At 36.5% G+C, this 18,879-nt stretch overlaps 1 protein-coding gene across 46 annotated transcripts in view; it reads left to right on the top strand.

Moving 5' to 3' along the window:
- Positions 1–18,879, top strand: part of SYNE1 (spectrin repeat containing nuclear envelope protein 1) — a 515,676-nt gene that overhangs the window by 69,885 nt on the left and 426,912 nt on the right. For 2 of the 46 annotated variants that reach the window (XM_017010612.2, XM_017010611.3), the window contains exon 1: positions 4,184–4,347. The exons of the other annotated variants lie outside the window; for them this stretch is intronic. In XM_017010612.2, the coding sequence (XP_016866101.1) occupies positions 4,308–4,347 (40 nt within the window). In that variant the 5' untranslated portion in view covers positions 4,184–4,307. Of the gene's footprint in view, positions 1–4,183; positions 4,348–18,879 lie in introns of those variants that run through there. 46 annotated transcript variants of the gene reach the window in all.

Raw genomic sequence — 18,879 nt, 5'->3', positions numbered from 1 at the left:
ATCTGTTATATATACTTCACTATAGGCTAATTACGATCTTTACTATTAAAGAAACATGTAAGCACTGTGTAGGTTAGGAAAACAAAATAACGTACAGTTTTATATTATAATGGGAAAAAAATCTTTTTCATTGGCTGAGTTATTAACAGAATGATTAAAATGGTTATGCTTAGCATTCATCCATCTACAAATGAATGGATGAAGAAATTGTGGCATATATATAATGGAATATTATTCAGCTTTTAAAAAGAAGGAGGTCCTGCGACTTTTGACAACATAGATGAACCTAGAAGACTTGCGCTAAGTGAAAAATACTGCATGACACTTAAACAGTAAATCTAAAAAAAGGCAAATGCATAGAAACAGAGAGTGAAACAGCAGTTAACAGGTGCAGAGGGATGGAGCAGTTTAGGGAGATGGGGGACAAAGGGTATACAGTTGCCACACACGCATACACACACACACACACACACACACACACACACACACACAGTATGTGAAGAGATGAATATGTTAGTTTTCTTGGCCGTAGTAATTATTTCACTATGTGTATCAAAACATCATGTAATACAACTTAAATATATACAATAACAAGTTAATGTTTAAAATCATATGTTGAAAAACAAAAGATGCTTGGCAGTGCCACAAAAAAAGTGTTTGTGGATTGTTATTCTACCCGAGATTAGGCCCTTAAATAATGGAAGTCACTCTTACAACTGCGGTTGTTTGTGAAATTAATATTTGAGTCAGGCCAAGCTCTAGGTGGAGTAATCCTATAAAGACACCTTGCTGAAAATGCATCTGTGGTTTCTCTTCCTGCCTGATGTCCATTTGGCATCCACACTCTGTTGATAATCCCACTAAGCCTTATCCTACAGCACCGTGAATTTAAGATTTTGTGCCAAAAATGCTCTTTTAACCATGCTTTTAATTTAATTTGAAAGGTGGTGGATTGGACTCAAATTGCCTCTGAACCTATATTTTGCTGCTCTTGGATCTTCCTGTGTCCCCTCTGCACCTCCTTCCTCTCACACTTCTTAATAGCTGCTATTTTTTTTTAATGTGGATTTTTTTTCTCAAAGCTGGTATTGTTTCTTCCTGAAAAGAAACAACATTGCCCTTGACACTGCAAAACGAAAATACAAAGAAAGGTCATGCTAGTTGCTCGCTTCAGCTTGAGAAGCGAGAACATGTTTTTCTCAAACCTGCCAGCATCTCTGTGTTACCTTGCGTCATCCCTTGTTCCTTCACTCTTATCTCAGTGGGCTGTGATGCTTAACCTTGGTTTTTCACACACACCCCAGGTTCAACACTGGAGGGGTAAGGAGCTAGAAGCTGCTACATTTGCTTGGTTCTTCTTCCCCTGTTTTTCCCTATACACAGCTGTAGTGCTGTGGAAGAAAAAAATAATTTTTCAAGGATGTAAAGGAACTAAGTTTACAAGGACATTAGGTTTAGGTTTTGTATCTTATTTTTCTCCTTGCCCCTGTGCCCTCTGCTCCCATCACCCATGTATGTAGTCAGTGCTTTGCACATAATTTGTGTGCAGTAAATGTTTCTTGAGTCATTTAAGAAGACTGGTCCTCATTTAAGGCTACAAACGATGTTTATTCTAACTTTTAAACCCCACAGTTCCTCCCCCTTAGTTGGCACTGAGTAGCTGGATTTCCAAATGGAAATAAGGCTTAAGTGAGAAATTGAAAAGGACAAGAAATCCTATTTGTAAAACAACTGAAAACCATCTCCCTCTTATTTTTTCAGTTTTTTAGAAATATGCCCTTCCTTAGAGCCTCCTTTTTTTTTTTTTTAAACTTCAGCAGGGAACTTGTCTGAATAAGGGAAGATTTTAAAGCGAAGTAAAGTTTAGCAACCTTTGACCCTTTTCTGGGTCTTGAGTGAATACCAAATGAGAATTTCAAGAATTATAAGGTTGAAGATTTAATGTTGAATATATGGGTATTGGGTCGTCAGACACTTAGCACGTAATAGAGGGTAAATAGCAGTGCCAGTAAATGCCAAAGAGTATTAATAAGTCCATACTTTTCCCTGACTTTAAATTGCTGCATATGCCATACTGGAGGACAAATCTGCTAGCCCTTAGGAATGAATACTAGGTTGTGGGCCCAGCTTTTAAGGATTCAGGATTACTTTATTCCCAGTAATTAACTAACTTAATTGGCCTGAACATGTCAAGATAAATTGAAACCAATGATTTGGATTTGCTCAGTAAATATACCTTTGAATGTCTAAATTCCACAAGAGGCCCTCTTTCTTAGTGTTGAAGCTAGTGGAGGCAAAAGGAACCACATAAATTAATGATCAGGTTTCTCCTGGCTTCTAGAAACTTCTTCGCTTCCCTGTCTTTATTAAATACATATTCTAATAATAAAAGAAAGCAATGGTCTGTTCTATTCCCTTAAGAGAAGTTAATTGCTGCTATCATGTTTAAATCAATAAGAGTAAAAACAAGTATAACAAGTAACTAACATTTATTGATGAATGAATACTATGTGATAAGTGTTGGACACAGCATTTACATAAAATATCTAACTTAATATTTACAGTGATTCTAGGAGGTTTTCATTATTATTTTTGTCTCTAGTTTACATATGGCTAAATGAAGCTATAAAGTGGCTAAGTCACCTTTTGAAATTCTCGCAGTAAATGATGATGCTGGGATCCCGAGTCGGATCTGTTGCACTCCTAGACCCCAAAGTCTGTTGAGGAAATTCATATTTCTTTTGGCCTCTACTGAAGAGTGAGTTTGATTTTTTTTTCCCTAGAAATCATGAGAATAGTTAACATTTTTTATAAGCAAACTTTTGGGGGTTAACAAATTTGATGTTATAATAAACGTTCCTGTCCAGGCACGGTGGCTCACGCCTGTAATCCTAGCATTTTTGGAGGCCAAGGTGGGCAGATCACTTGAGTTCAGGAGCTCAAGACCAGCCTAGGCAACATGGCAAAACCCCGTCTCTACAAAAAATACAAAAATTAGCCAGGTGTGGTGGCATGCCCCTGTAGTCCCAGCTACTTGGGAGGCTGAGGCAGGAAGATTGCTGGAGCCCAGGAGGTTGAGGCTATAGTGAGCCGAGAGCATGCCACTGCGCTCCTGTCTGGGTGACAGAGTGAGACCCTGTCTCAAACCAAAACCAAACCACAACAAACAAAAAACAAACATTTCTTACTCTAAATGAGTCAGAAAAATGAAAACATTTTCACCAGTGATTTTGTTTGTGGTGGTGTTTTAATAGGCATGAGTAGGCTACAACTGATTCGTGTTTTTCCTTGAAATCCCAGGCCAAGAAATTATTTGATTCTAGACCTGGAGAGTCTCACACATCTGTAAACATTTCTTGCTTAAAAATCTAGTCTTTGATTGTCTTACGCAGTATAAAATGGAATTTAAAAAATATTCTTTGTACATTCTTACACCTATATTTGTTTGTCTTTTGTAAGGCTCTTTCTTTAACTGATATTTTATGTGCTTAAGTAATGTCAAACCTCTCCAATATTGTTTGCAAGTTTCAAAAAAATGGTGTGATTCTCTTGGCAACTTGCTATGTGTATTTCTAGTATGGCAATTATAATTTGTAATGAGTGTTTTGCAATATTAGATATTTGGGAAAAATTCCAGAAAGTTCAAAGAACAAATCAGAAATAAACAAGATTATATCTTGTGTAAAAATACAAGAAATTAAATGCCTATGTAATAGTGATCTAAAAAATGTCCATTTAATTTCTTCTCCCAAATTCTAGAATTAAATTTCAAAAGTAACAATTCTGGAAGTTTTTGTAAGTTGGACGATTTTTTTCCAACAAAAATCCCTTAGAAGTTATTAAGATTTTTAAAATTTTTTCCAGCTTTATTGAGATGACATAAAAATCATGTCAATATATCTTTTCAAGGTGTGCAATGTGATGAGTTGATATATTTCTCATTGTGAAACAATTACCACAATCAACACTAGGATTTTAATAAGATAAAATGCCTAATTTTCTAAATATCGAATGAAAAATGTCTCTTTTTTTTCACCAAAAGTGCATCTGAAGCACTTTTTATAAATCGATATGAGCACTGTCTTTGTAGACACGCTGGCACTGGGGAGCGGTGCATTTGGCTAGTAAGCAGGGGGTAAGGATGAAGAATGAGGGAAGAATAGTATGCTTTTATAGAGATGTTGCTATAGTGATAATATCAGGAGAATGCTGCTAGGAGAGTTGGAAGTTCCCTTGGTGAAAGCTGTGTTTGGTTTAGATACGACTGAATTAGGATAATTTACCAAAATCAGTAAAATAGGTGAGATATGATAAAAACAATCTACAAGACTCCGGGTATGATAAAAGGTACTATTTTGTTATTGTTGTCTCTATGTGTGTTTCTCCGTCTCTTTCTCTTTCTGTGTGTGTGTGTGTGTGTGTGTACTCTTTTTCCTCTATTATAATTTGAGTTGAAATACTTCGTACCAAAAGATGAATGTGTGGAGTAGACTTTAAAAGAACTCTAAAAGTTTAAAATCTTTTCTTCCTATTGTATCTGAACCTAAAACTAGTGGAAGTGAAATGAATAATACTGATTTACATTCATCATTTTGGAAAACCTAAAACCAGCATTTATAGTGAAAGCCTGAATAGTGAAAATTTAGATGATTGATATTTAGAGTTTTTTAAAAAAATATATACTTTAAGTCCTGGGATACAAGTGCAGAACGTGCAGGTTTGTTACATAGGTATACATGTGCCATGGTGGTTTGCTGCACCCATCAACCCATCATCTACATTAGGTATTTCTCCTAATGCTATCCCTCTTATCCATTTGTCTGTCAATAGACAGGTTGATTCCACATCTTAGCTGTTGTGAATAGTGTGCAGGGCATATGGTGGTGCAGATGTCTCAGTGATATACTGATTTCATTTCCTTTGGATATATACTCAGTAGTGGGACTATTGGATCATATGGTACTTCTATTTTTAATTTTTTTGAGAAATCTTCATACTGTTTTCCATAATGTCTGTAATAATTTACATTCTCACCAACAATGTCCAAGGGTTCCCTTTTCTCCACATCCTCACCAACACTTGTTATCTTTTGCTATTTTGATAATATACATCCTAATGCATGAGGTGATGTCTCATGGTTGTTTGAACTTGCTTTCCCTGATGTTTTGTGATGTCGAGCATTTTTTCTTGTAATTGGCCATTCGTATGTATTCTTTTGAGAAATGTCTAGTCAGGTCCTTTGCCCGTTTTCTTTGTTTGTTTTTCTGCTATTTAGTTTTTGAGTTTCTAACATATTTTGCATATTAATCCCTTATCAATTGTGTGGTTTGCAAATATTTTCTCCACTCCCTAGGTTGTCTCTTCCCTCTGTTGATGTTCCCTTTGCTGTGCAGAAGCTTTTTAGTTTGGTGCAATTCTATTTGCCTCTTTTTGCTTTGTTGGCTGTGCTTATAAGGTCATATCCAGAAAATCATTGTCTAGTCCAATATCAAGAAGCTATTTTGCCCATGTTTTCTTCTAGTACATTTATGATTTCAGGACTTACGTTTAAATCTTTAATCTGTCTTGAGTTGATTTGTGTGTATGTTGTAAAATAAGGATCCAGTTTCACTTATTTGCATGTGGATAGCCAGTTTTCCTAACACCATTTCCTGAAGGGACAGTCTTTCTCCATTGTGTATTCTTGATGCCTTTTTCAAAGATTAATTGACTGAATATTATATATGGGTTTATTTCTGTGCTTTCTGTTCCAATCCATGTATTGTTTTTTTATGCCAGTACCATGCAGTTTTGATCACTATAGCTATATAATATAATTTAAAATCAGGAAATATGCCTCCAGCTTTGTTCTTTTTCCTTAAAATTGCTTCATGGTCTTTGATGGTTCCATACAATTTTTAGGACTTTTTTTTCTATTTCTATTAAAAATGCCGTTGGAATTTTGATAGGAGTTACATTGAATCTGTAGATCATTTAAGGTAATATGAACATTTTGACAATATTGATTCTTGTGATCCATAAAAGGAAATATCTTTCCATGTATTTGCCTTGTCAGTTTTTTGCATCAATGCTTTATTGTTTCATTATACAGATCTTTTATCTCCTTGGTTAAATTTACTCCTAAGTATTTTATTCTTTTTTATGCTATTGTGAATAGAATATTTTTAAAATTTATTTTTTGAAAAAAATGTCTTTTTGGATAGTTCATTGTTTATGTATAGACATGCAACTGAATTTTGTTTGTTAATTTTGTACCTTATAACTTAACTAAATTTATCAGTTATAACCATTTTTTTGGTGGAGTCTAGGGTTTACTCTATTTGAGATAATGTCATCTGCAAACAAAAGTCTATGTATTCCTTTCTGATTTTGATGCCTTTTATTGCTTTTGCTTGCTTAATTGATTTGGGTAGGAATTTCAGTGTTATGTTGAATAGAACATAGCACTCTGTGAGAGTGGGCAGCCTTGTCTTTTCACTGATCTTGGAGGAAAAATGTTCAACATTTTACCATTCACTATACTATTAGTTGTAGGCTTTTCTTATGTGGTCTTTATTGTGTTGAGATACATTCCTCCTGTACCTAATTTTTTGAGTTTTTAATCATAAAATTATGTTGAGTTTTGTCAGATGCTTTTCATGCATCTATTGAGATGATCATACGACTTTTATCTTTCATTCTATTATTATGGTATATCACATTGATTAATTTGCATATAGTGAACCATTCTTGAATCTCAGGTATAAATCCCATCGACCATGGTCATGTTGAATTTGGTTTGCTAGTGTTTCATTGAGAATTTTCATGTCTATGTTTATCAGGGATATTGGCTTGTAATTTTCTTTTCTTGTATTCTTATCTGGCTTTAGTATGAGAGTAATGCTGGCCTTATAAAATGAGTGTGGAAGTGGTTCATTCTCATTAATTTTTTAAACAGTTTGGGAAAGATTGGTATTAGTTTTTCTTTAAATGTTTGATGGAATTCACACATAAAACCATCAGGTCCTGGGATTTTCTTTGTTGAAAGATTTTTTCTTACTACTTCAATCTCCTTCCTCATTATTGGCCTGCTCAGATTTTCTATTTCTTCTTCTTCTTTTATTTTTCTTTTTGAGATGGAGTCTCGCTCTGTCACACAGGCGGGAGTGCAATGGCACCATCTCAGCTCACTGCAACTTCTGCCTCCCAGGTTTAAGCGATTCTCCCACCTCAGCCTCCCGAGTAGCTGGGACTATAGGTGCATGCCACCACACCCAGCTAATTTATTTATTTATTTTTTGTATTTTTGATAGAGATGGGGTTTCACCATGTTGTTCAGGCTGGTCTTGAACTCCTGACCTCAAGTGATCTGCCCACCTCGGCCTCCCACAGTGCTGGGATTTCGGGTGTGAGCCACCATGCCCAGCCTTCTATTTCTTCTTGATTCAGTTTTGGTAGATTGTACGTGTCTGGAATTTATCCATTTCTTCTAGATTATCCAATTTGTTGATATACAATTGTTCATATATTCTCTTATGATCCCTTATATTTCTGTAGTATCAGTTGTAATATCTCTTATTTTATTTATTTGAATCTCCTCTCTTTTCTTTAGTCTAGCTAAAAGTTTGTAATTGTGTTTATCTTTTCAAAAACCAACTCTTAGTTTCATTGATTGTTTTCTCTTGTTTTCTAGTCTTGATTCCATTTATTTCTGCCCTGATCTTTGTTATTTCCTTCCTTCTCCTAAGTTTGGGCTTAGTCTTTCTCTTTTTGCTAGCTCCTTGAGGTATAAAATTAGGTTGCTTAAAATCTTTCTTTTTTTAAAAATGTAGGCATTTATTACTATAAACCATCCTCTTAGAACTTATTTTGTTGCATCTCCTAAGTTTTTGTAGGTAGTATTTCCATTTTCATTCATCTCAAGATATTTTTTGGTTTCCCTTTTATTTTTTGGCCCATTGATTGTTCAATGAATTGTTTAATTTCCACATATTTGAGAATTTTCAAATTTTCTTCATATTACTGATCTCTTGTTTTATGTTTTTTTGTGGTCAGAAAAGAGAAGACATGATTTCAACTTTCTTAAATATGATAAGAGGCCAGACAGCAATAGCTCATGCCTGTAATCACAGCATTTTAGGAGGCTGAGGTGGGAGGATTGCTTGAGGTAAGGAGTTCTAGACCAGCCTGGGCAACACAGTGAGACCCTGTCTCTACAAAAAAATTTTAAAACATTAGCTGGGCATTGTGGCACTCAGCTGTAATCCCAGCAGCTACTCAGGAGGCTGAGGTGGGAGGATTGCTTGAGCCCAGGAGTTCTAGGCTACAGTGAGTGCCACTGCACACTAGCCCAAGCAACAGTGAGTGCCACTGCACTCTAGCCCAGGCAACAGTGAGTGCCACTGCACTCTAGCCCAGGCAACAGTGAGTGCCACTGCACTCTAGCCCAGGCAACAGATGCGACCCTCTCTCTAAAAATAAATAAATAAATAAATAAATAAATAAATAAATAAATAAATAAAAATTAAATATGTTAAGACTTGTTTTGTGGTCTAATATATTAATATATTATCTATCCTGGAGAATTGTCTGTGTGCACTTGAAAATAATGTGTATTCTGCTGTTGCTGGATGGAATATTCTATATACATCTGTTACATTGTTTAGGTTTATAGTGTTCTTCAAATGTATTGTTTCCTTGTTGAGTTTCTGTCAGGATGATCTATCCATTGTCAAACGTGAAGTACTGAAATCTGCTACTATTAATCATATTGCTGTTTATTTCCTTCGATTCTGTTAGCATTCATTTTATATATTTAGGTGCTCCGATGTTGGGTAAATATATACTTACATTATTATGTGCTCTTGATGAATTGATCCTTTTGTCATTATATAATGATCTTCTTTGTCTCTTTTGACAGTGTTTGACTTAAAATCTACATTGTGCGATATAAGGATAGCCATCCTTGTTCTCCTTTGGTTACCATTTACATGGAATTTCTTAATCCATAACTTTACTTTCAGACTATGTGCTTCCTTAAAGCTAAAGTGAATCTCTTGTAGGCAGCATATAGTTTGATCTTATACTTTTTAATCCATTTGGCCACTCTTTGTCTTTTGATTAAAGAATTTAGTCTATTTACTTTTAAGATAATTATTGGTAGGCAAGGACCCAGTACTGACAAACTGTTGTTTTCTATTTTGGAGTTACTTTATTCCGTTCTTCCTCTCTTGCCATCCTCTTGTGATCTGATGATTTTTTTTGTGGTGGTATGTTTTAATTCCTTTATCTTTATGTATCTACTTACAGATTTTTTCTTTGTGGTAACATGAGGCTTACATGAAACCTCTTATAGTTATAATAGTCTGCTTTAAGCTGGTAACAATTTAACTTTGACTGCAAACAAAAACTACACTTTAACTTCTCCTCTCCCCATGTTTTATATTATTAATGTCACAATTTACATCTTTTTATATTGTGTACCCATTAACAAATTGTTGTAGCTTTAGTTGTCTTTAATACTTTTGTCTTTTAACTTTTATATCAAAGTGACTTGTATGGCACCATTACAGTATTAGGATATTGTGAATTTGACTATATGTTACCTTTACAATGAGATTTTACTTTCATATATTTTCATTTTGTTAATTAGCTTTCTTTTATTTTAACTCAAAGAACTCTAACATTAATTTTTTGTAAGGTAGTTCTAGTAGGGACTAACATCCACAGTTTTTGTTTATCTAGGAAGGTCTTTATCACTCCTTCATTTCTTAAAGACAGCTTTTCTGGATATAGTATTATTGGTTGACAGTATTTTTCCCCCACCAGCACTTTGATTATATTATCCCACTTTCTCCTGGCCTGCAAGTCTCTACTGAGAAAACTGCTTGTAATCTTACGGAGTTTCCCTTATACATAACAAATCACTTTTCTCTAGTTGCTTTCAAAATTTTTTGTCTTTGACTTTTGAAAATTTGATTATAATGTATCTTGGTGAAGATCTCTTTATGTTTAATCTTTTTAGGGCTCTTGGTATTCATGGATATTAATGTTTATTTCCCAGTCTAGATTTGGGAAGTTTTCTAACATTATTTTTTTTAAACAAGCTTTCTTCTTCTTTCTCCATCTCTGCTTCCTCTGAAACTCACATAATATGTATATTGATTAGCTTCATGGTGTTTCATATGTTCCATAGGCTTTCTTCTCCCCTTTTCATCCTTTTTTTCCATTCTTGATCCTCTGACTGAATAATGTCAAGCCTGTCTTCAAGCTTTCTGATTCTTTCTTCTATTTGATTGAACCTACTGTCGAAGCTGTCTATGCAATTTTTTTCAGTTCAGTTATTGTGTTCGTCAGCTCCAGAATTTTTGTTTTGTTCTTTTGTATGGTTTCTGTCTCTCTGTTGAACTTCTGATTTTTTTCAGGTGTTGTTTCCTGATTTGGGTTAGCTGCCTTTCTGTGTTCTCCTTTAGCTCACTTAGCTTCTTTGTTAGAAGATTATGTTAAATTATTTCTCAAGCAGTTCATAGATATCCATTTCTTTAAAGTCAGTTACTAGTATTTTACTTGCCCCTTTGGTAGTGTCATATTTCTCTGATATTTGGTTTGTTGTGGCCTTGAGCTGGTGCCTATGCATTTGAAGACATAGGCACATTTGCCAGTCTTCAGACTGGCCTTAGCAGGGAAAGCCCTTCATCAGTCAGCCTGACCAAGGATTCTGAAAAGGTCAGCTGGAAGGGTTCATGGATAGGCATGCTGCTGAAATCCTTGGGAGGACTGGCCTGATGTTTTCGTCAGGGGACAGATGGTCCTCTCATCATCTTAGCTTATAGGGGCTGAGTTGATATTTTGGACCATGGGAGTAAAGCTGGGACTATGGTCCATTGTGGTGGGCCTGGAGACTGGGTCTGTGGAGGATGGCCTAAAACCTGAGTCCACAGAAAACAGTCAGGCAGTGGGGTGGGCTTTTGGTCTGAGTTCATGGGGGTCATCCTGTACTGGAGTTGGTCTGGCACTTGGGTCTGTGAGGGCAGTCCTGAAACACAGATCTGCATGGGCAGGCCCAAATCCTCGGTCTGAAGGGGCCAACTTGACACTAGAGTTCACTGGGGCAAGTGCTGGAGTCTACTTTGAAGTCAAGTGCTCACTTCACTATTCTCCCTCATATGGAAGTTATCTCTCCATGGTATGCAGTACAGGCTTGGGAAGGGGGTGATATGGGTGGGTAATATAAAACTGTTCTTCATACCCTCTTCAATGTATGTGTTTATTTCTGTGCTCTACTCAGGCACTATATTCCTTAGCTCTCAGGCAGATATTTTTGTTGCATGTGAATGGGTTGTTCAAATTGATGTCTCTGTGAGGAAATGAGCACTGGAAACTGCTATTATGCCATCTTGCTGATATCACTTTGTTTTCAGATCTCTTTTAAAATGTGAGGGTGCCTCAGAATTTTACCTCTTTTTCACTATGTTTACATATAAGATGATAATCAGATGCACTCAAGTTTGCCTCTGGCATCACAGCAGTTTCTCTTCAGTGACTACCTTCAGGACATAGGTAGCTGAACCATTTTCCTTATTAGGAAACAAATGTAGATACAGTAGTAAGTTTTATTCTGGTTTTTCTACATGGAATTTACTGATAACAAGCTTACTCTGGATGTAGATTCTCATATTTTCTAAAGTTTTATATAAAATATATCATGCATTCTTATAACTCATTGAAATTTAGTTATGATGTTTGTTTATATGTAAAAATACCAACATGTTATATTGTTATTTATCAAATTACATGAATTCATTCATGTCTTTACATCATTGCAAGTAACTTTTCTTGGGTTCCAATTGTTCTGGGTTTCAGTGAAATAATATACTTGCTTAAACATATACTAATTTAAAATGCAATCAGGTATTGCTTAACAATGAAGATACATTCTGAGAAATGTATTATTAGGCAGTTTTGTCATTGTGCGTACATCATAGAGGGTACTTACACAAGCCTAGATGGCATAGCCTACTACACACCTTGGCTATGTGTTAATAGCCTTTTACTCCTAGGCTATCAACCTGAATAGCATTTTACTGTACTGAACACTGTAGGCAATTGTACTACAATGTTAAATATTTGTGTGTCTAAACATATCTAAACATAAAAAGTACAGTAAAAATACAGTATTATAATTTCATGGGACCACAGTTGTATATGTGGTCCATCATTGGCTGAAATGTTATGTGATATATGCTTATACTGGGGGAACGGATTGAGAATGTAAACAGAATATCTTTTCCAATTTCCCCAAAGACACAACATATCTATGACAAAGATATAATAATTGTAACAAAAAATATGAGTTTATTTTAAAATCAAGAGTCTCTATTTTACTTCTTTGCTCTTCCTAAGATTTCTCATCATGTTGCTTTTTCAAAATCTCACTTCCCATTTATGAGTATTTGAAATATAAGTCTTCCTCTTTTAAGATGTCTTAAACCTCATTACCTTCTGGTGATTTGAGAAGTAACTGGTTAAAGACAAAAGAAAGTGATGGGTCTGTGTAAAAATTAGAACTTAAGTCCTACCTACAAACATTTAAATTAAAATGTTTTCTTGGAAGGTTGCAGGATGAAGGAAAATACATTTGGGGCCCAGATTCTGCCTACATGCCACTACTTGGCAATCCATGTTTTTTATTTGTGTAGGCTCTTGGGTGATGATGTTTAAGAACTGGAAAAATGGTATCATATTCAGGAGAAATAGTTATGCAAAGGGTGGATGATGATATGGAGGTCAGAGGGGAGAACTAGATAGTGGCTGCCAAAGTTGTCTGGTTAGAGAAGTAAAATGGTACCTTAGATAGGCAGGCTCAGAGGGTAGAAATATACAACCAAGTTTGGTTGGTTAAACTGAGGAAGCATATGAATTAGTAAGAAACTGATAAAAAAAACTAAGATGTCTAAGATGGTTTGGAGAACTCCATGATTGGCTGCCTCAAGAAAGCTATGGCCCCTTCCCTGTCCTTGCACTATCGATCTTTTGATCCAGAAGTCCTCAGACTTTTGATCCAGTCCTCAGAAAAGTGCAAAAGTGGGCCTTGAACACTTTGTTCATTTTGAAATAAATGGAGGAGGCAGCATCTCTTGGTGGTCAAGTGTTTGGCTGTAGTCCCAAATAGAAATAGGAGCAAATCTTGACCCCCTTTGAATGCAGTGTATCGAACATAGCATACAACTAATGAGAACTACTGATCTCATTATTATTGGGACCGTGCTGCTATTCTCATTGTTACTGGGACTGTTTAAATTTTTAGAGCTTAGTAGTTAACATTGTAGCTGGTGCAGCAGATGACTGGGGCACAGTGCAGACCATGCCCCTCAGCTCTGAGGCCCTCATTCCCAGCTCTCCAAATGTTGCCTGCTGAAGACTCACAGCTGAGCCTCTCCCCAGGACTGGTCCTCAGCCCCGGGGATCTGCCTTTCTCAAGTTATACCTCCTCCCAGGGCCACCCCATATCCAGCAACTGGCCAATACCTGGATGCAAAGTCCCAGCCCCTTGCCTTCATTTTGGACATCTCTGAAAGACTCTCCTAGCTTCAGCTGCATAATTGCATGAGTCCAGCATCTCCCTGTGTCCTAATTCTGCTTCTCCACACTTAAAGTTTTTAGTTCTTGAGAGCACATGCTAAAAAACCTCCTGCTGACAAAATTCCTTCTAGAATTTGTTTCCCTGTTATCCTGACCTGTGACACATGATATAATAATAATACCAAGGCAGATGCAAATATAGACATGTGAAAGGAAAATTATTCTGTGGATTCATAGGTGAGCCAGTTCCCATAAACATTTCCTGCTCTGTTGAGGAGGCTCAAGTAGTAGTAAGATGGGCTGAGAATGAGGATAGACAAGGTTGAAGAACTGGAGATAGGCGGTCAAGATGTCCGTGGATAGGAGAACTCTTTATAGTTTGTAGCTCGGGAAGATAACTGAGCATCATGGCCTAGCTTGGAGGTGCTCTATTGACCAGCTGGATTCTGGCCATATCGTTTTTAATATAGTACGGGGGAAAGGGAGTAAGGAGGGTTTCATTTGACTTTGGCACTTGCTTGCTGAGATACCCATTTCTGACACGGTTTCCTCATCTGTGAGTTGGGAATTGCGTCTACATTGCCTATCTCCAGATAGGTTGTGATATGTAAAGTTATTCTGGAAACCCCAATGGGCAATTTGGACGTGAGAGTAGAATGAAGTGATTGAAGGTATGGGCTTTTGAGTCAGACAGATATCCATGCTCCACGTTTAGTGTCTTGTGTCACCTCAAGGGAGTTGATGAACCTCGTTTGCTCCAGTCTCTTTACATGTAAAATTGGTGAGGGTGGAGGATATTTTCTCATACGGTTATTGCAAAGTTTTAATTAGATAATATGTGTAGTAAATATATGCAACATATGCCTGCCACATACATTCTAAATAGAAGATAGATTTCTATTATTATTAAAAGTAACCTTTAAAATTATTCATTACTATACGAATAAACTTGAGCATGTGAGGTTGGATTGACACTCAGGAAATTTATTTGTGACATCCACCAGCTGCTGTCTCATGTGGAAACCCCTGCAGCTGCCGCGGTGGCCACAGGTTCTGGAGTCCAGTAGATCTTCTATTATGAGGAGGGTCACTAACGCCACGCTAGATCTGAAGCAGCGGAAAGCAACAGCACCACCTGGTGCTCTGTGCAGGATTAACCACTGAGTGCAGGTCTTCCAAGTGGCTAATTGAATTACATGGTGGGGGTTGAATTTGAGATTGCAATTTCTAACACTGGCTCTTTAAACTCTGTGATTTGACCTTATTTCTCAGGTTCACTCTTTTAGGTGCTTGCTGTTTTTCATTTCATCTCCATCTGAGATTTATGAGTTTTGTTGTTAAAATTGTAGCTCTCTTTACGTCTTGTCAAGGGGACAGGTAGTATAAAATATAGGTGAAATTGTGTCAAATTATTGTATCCGTGCTGGATACTGACAAAATAATATATAAATATATAATATAAATATGTAAATATATAAATATAAGTATTTATATGAGAGAGGGAGAGAGAGAAGGAACATTTAGATCACAGGGTGAGACTAAGAAATAATATTAGCAGTAATTTGAAATGCAAAATCCCAAAATGTGAAAATGTAAAATTGTAAAATCCTGAACCTACTTAAGATAAAGAGCAGTAATTTGATGAAAAGCAACGACCAAACTTTGAAAGCACTCTCTGAGAACAGTCATGTTTGTTTGAGAGAACTGTGGGTTTTTTAAAAGTCTGGATTAAATATTGGACATAAAATATACGAACACTGTGACCAGCTTTTCTCCCCCCTTTTCCCCATTCCACACCAAACAATGTATTTTGAATTGTTGAAACTCTTGGTATTGGAATACAGTTTCAGGTTAAAATAAAGTGGTTCTATGAAGGTAGTATTTCAGGACATTTTTCAAGACTCCCTTTCTTTCTGGTGCCCTGGTATTGCTAAGAGCTCATAACAGGAAAATATTTCATAGTTTTGGTGGCTTTCTTGCAAAAGCAGGAGACGCCACATTTTACAGGAGGGAGCTGGCTACATGTGGCAAGTTTGTCCAGCCTCAGCTTGAAGTCCTTCTCAAGGCTTCTGTGTGTGCTCTCTGATTGGAAATAACCTTTCATCCAAGAGATCAGTTGTCTTCATGTTTTCATTAACATGCACCTTTATATGTAATTCAGTAGGAAAACTCTTAGATGTGAAGGCAGCATTTTCTCCTTAGCTTCCATTGTAGCAAACAGTAGGAGGGTAGGCTTTCATGTTTTCCACAAGAATAATCTTTAATCATGTAGAAGTGATATTTTTTAAATATACTAATATATTTCATGTCACTGTTCTGAACTTTTCTTTGCATTTACAAAACTTGGACTGTGATGTAATTCTTTTTGATTCCTGTTTCCCTGATGGACTCTCAGGGACCAAACCCATCCTCTCAGATTGCATCCACAGCTGGTCAGCAGAACGGCTGGTACATGTGAGGGGCACAGTGGAATTCATTAAATTAGTGAATCAAATAATCAGCAAATTGATCTGGTCAAAATTAGATTAGGGTAAGAGTCTGACTACTAAATACTGTTCATTATTCTGTAACTCTTCAGCCTTCATTCCAGTTTCTAGATTTCTGGCGTATTTCCTCACCCCCACTATTCTTTAGCTTCCTTGTTCACATCCGAGTTAATGGTCTTCTCTGTGTACGTGGCAGGTTATTTGTGAGAATCCAAATGAGAAATGTATACAAAACATGAATAAGTTCAAGTGCTGTACAGATACAAGGTAAAAGGTATTTTCATTACTTTACTATCCGATCATTGTCTCCTGCAACATTATATCCACAAATAGAGGAAGGAAAAGGTGTCAGGAAAAAATCCACAAAAGTTCTGCTTGAAACTGTTCAAATGTGGTCTTGATTTAGAACTAAAAGGTTTGAAGTGCCACAATAAGCTGTGCTGTTTTTCCTCCCACTGTATTGATTGCTTTGTGCTCTCTATTGTGATTATTACTCTCTGAGTGCACATCTCCATCCCTGCACTTCTGTGTGATTCACACAACCCTTTATCCGAAAGTCTAAGGACCCCAGCTTTGTTTTCAAACTCAGAATCTTTTGGATTTTAGAAACGTGATACGGTGCACATACTATTTATTATGGTTCACTCTCAATCAGAGTCTGTGGCAGCACCTTGCAATCAAAGACGTTGATATTTCTGCAGAGAAAAGTATGAATTTTCACATTAAGTGGAATAATGAAAGACTATAAATAGTCTTTTCTCAATTCAGGTCAATTTTTTGCTACCAAATTATTTACTACAAAGTTACAAAACTGAGGCCCATCCAAGGCTTCAAGGCTGATGCATCTGTCCCCTCCTCTCTCCCACACCCCCATACATACGAGATGACAAATTCTTCGTGAGATGAAAGCATTTCCACATTGTTGTCACCCTAGAAGCCAACCCAGTGCCTAGCACATTTTCTAATATATGTGTCCTTATATAACTGCCACCATTGTGACAAATACATTAAAATTTGGTAAATTGTAATATTTTTAAAATATTTGTTTTTTAAAAAATAGATTTTGCTTTATATAGTTCTAAAATATTTTTTAGAGGTTAAGAATTATAAGATAAATCAAACACACTATCAGATCTATCCACCCTCTCCCACTTATACCTTCCCACCACATGAGACCAAACTTTCCAGATTTGAATGACATAATTTCAGACATCATAAGATACTTTAATTCATATTGGAAAAATCGTGTAATTTCTATGTAACCTTTCAGCAAAAGTCTTAGATTTACTATATTTTGTCACTTTTCAAATAGATATATCACTAGGGTGTAGGGTACTGCCAGTATCTAATGTGTAAAGGCCAATGACATTGCTAGACATCCTATAATGCACAAGACCACCTCCCACGACAAAGAATCATCTTGCCTAAATGTCAATATTGCTGAGGTTAAGCAACTGTAACTTAGGAACGGAGATAATTATATTCCTTTCATCCCATCTGCCTTAGATTTAAAGTGAAATGATACTACATTTTGCAAATATAACTTTAATGAAATTGGGCTCTTTCAATCTAGCCACTGGTTTTAAATACAAAAGAAATGCAACTCCAATTCTGAAAGTCTTAAGAGCAATGTAAGTCTTTACTGACATTCACTTGAAAAAAAAATTGAAGCAGTCATTAGAGGACTCAACACAGGCAAGACTCCCTAAAAATTCTCTTAACTCATCTTTTCCCTCAAGCCCACAGCTGTAGATAGCTATTAATTTTCTCTCTTCTCGTCTGTCCCTTCGCATCAATCCATGTCAGAACTCATGCAGAGTAACTTTGGTTGCCCTTGTTCTTTGCAACTTTTAATCCATTACTTGTCTGATTAAAACAGGAAAGGCCTAGGAGACAGGCCCAAAGAAATAAGCCTAGAATCTTTTCATTATGGAAAACAGAGTGAGGGAGGAGGAGAAGGACCCCTCCACTCCCACCGCCCCCCCACACATGTAAATGCCTTTATTTCAGTTAGCCTTTGCTGTGTAACAAACTACTCCAAAACTCTGTGGCTTAAGCCAATCAGAATTCATGCTTTCTCACAGTATGTGGATTTGCTGGTTAGTTCAGTTAAATATGGATGGTTTCATAAGGACACATATATAAGACAATATACCAGGCAGGGGGCTGATCTTTAGGAATACGATATTGAGGAAAATGCTTTCTTCCTACAAGGAATTTGTATCAAGTATGTATGGATGTGAGAGAGAGGAGGTATCAGACACATCAGTCTCGAAGTCTTAGGCCTCAGTTTGTTGACTTCACTTGGGTTCACCTGTGGCTGAGTTCATCTGCAGGGCTGACTGAGCTTGAAGATCCAAGGTGACCTCATTCACGTGCCTGGTGGTTAGTTCTAGGTAACAAATGAGACATCTGAATTCTTCCACAGATGGAAACATCTTCTAATATAAACTGCTTTCTTTGCACAGTGGTTTTAGGATGGAGATCCAAGACAGCTAAAACAGAAACTTCACGACCTCTTAAGGCCTAGAATCAGATGACATAAAGTAATTTCTGCTGCATTATTAATTAAAGCAAGTACCATACGAGTTCAGATTCAAGGGGAAGGGAAATTGATTCTACCCCTGGATGGGAAGGACAAAGTCACCATACAAAAGAAGGATGCATAGTTGGACCACAGGATTTTGTGGCCATAATTTAAAATCTGTCCTCTGGTCACTACTGTTTGTTTTCTTTCTGCATGGAAAGTACATTCATCCATTCTCAAGGTATCAAAAGTCTCCTCCAGCCTTTGGTTTGGCATCAAGCTCTAAGTCCTGTGTTGCATCGTTTG

Source organism: Homo sapiens, chromosome 6, assembly GCF_000001405.40.
Source record: "Homo sapiens chromosome 6, GRCh38.p14 Primary Assembly".
Taxonomy (NCBI): domain Eukaryota; kingdom Metazoa; phylum Chordata; class Mammalia; order Primates; family Hominidae; genus Homo; species Homo sapiens.
This window is presented reverse-complemented; position numbering and strand designations above follow the sequence as displayed.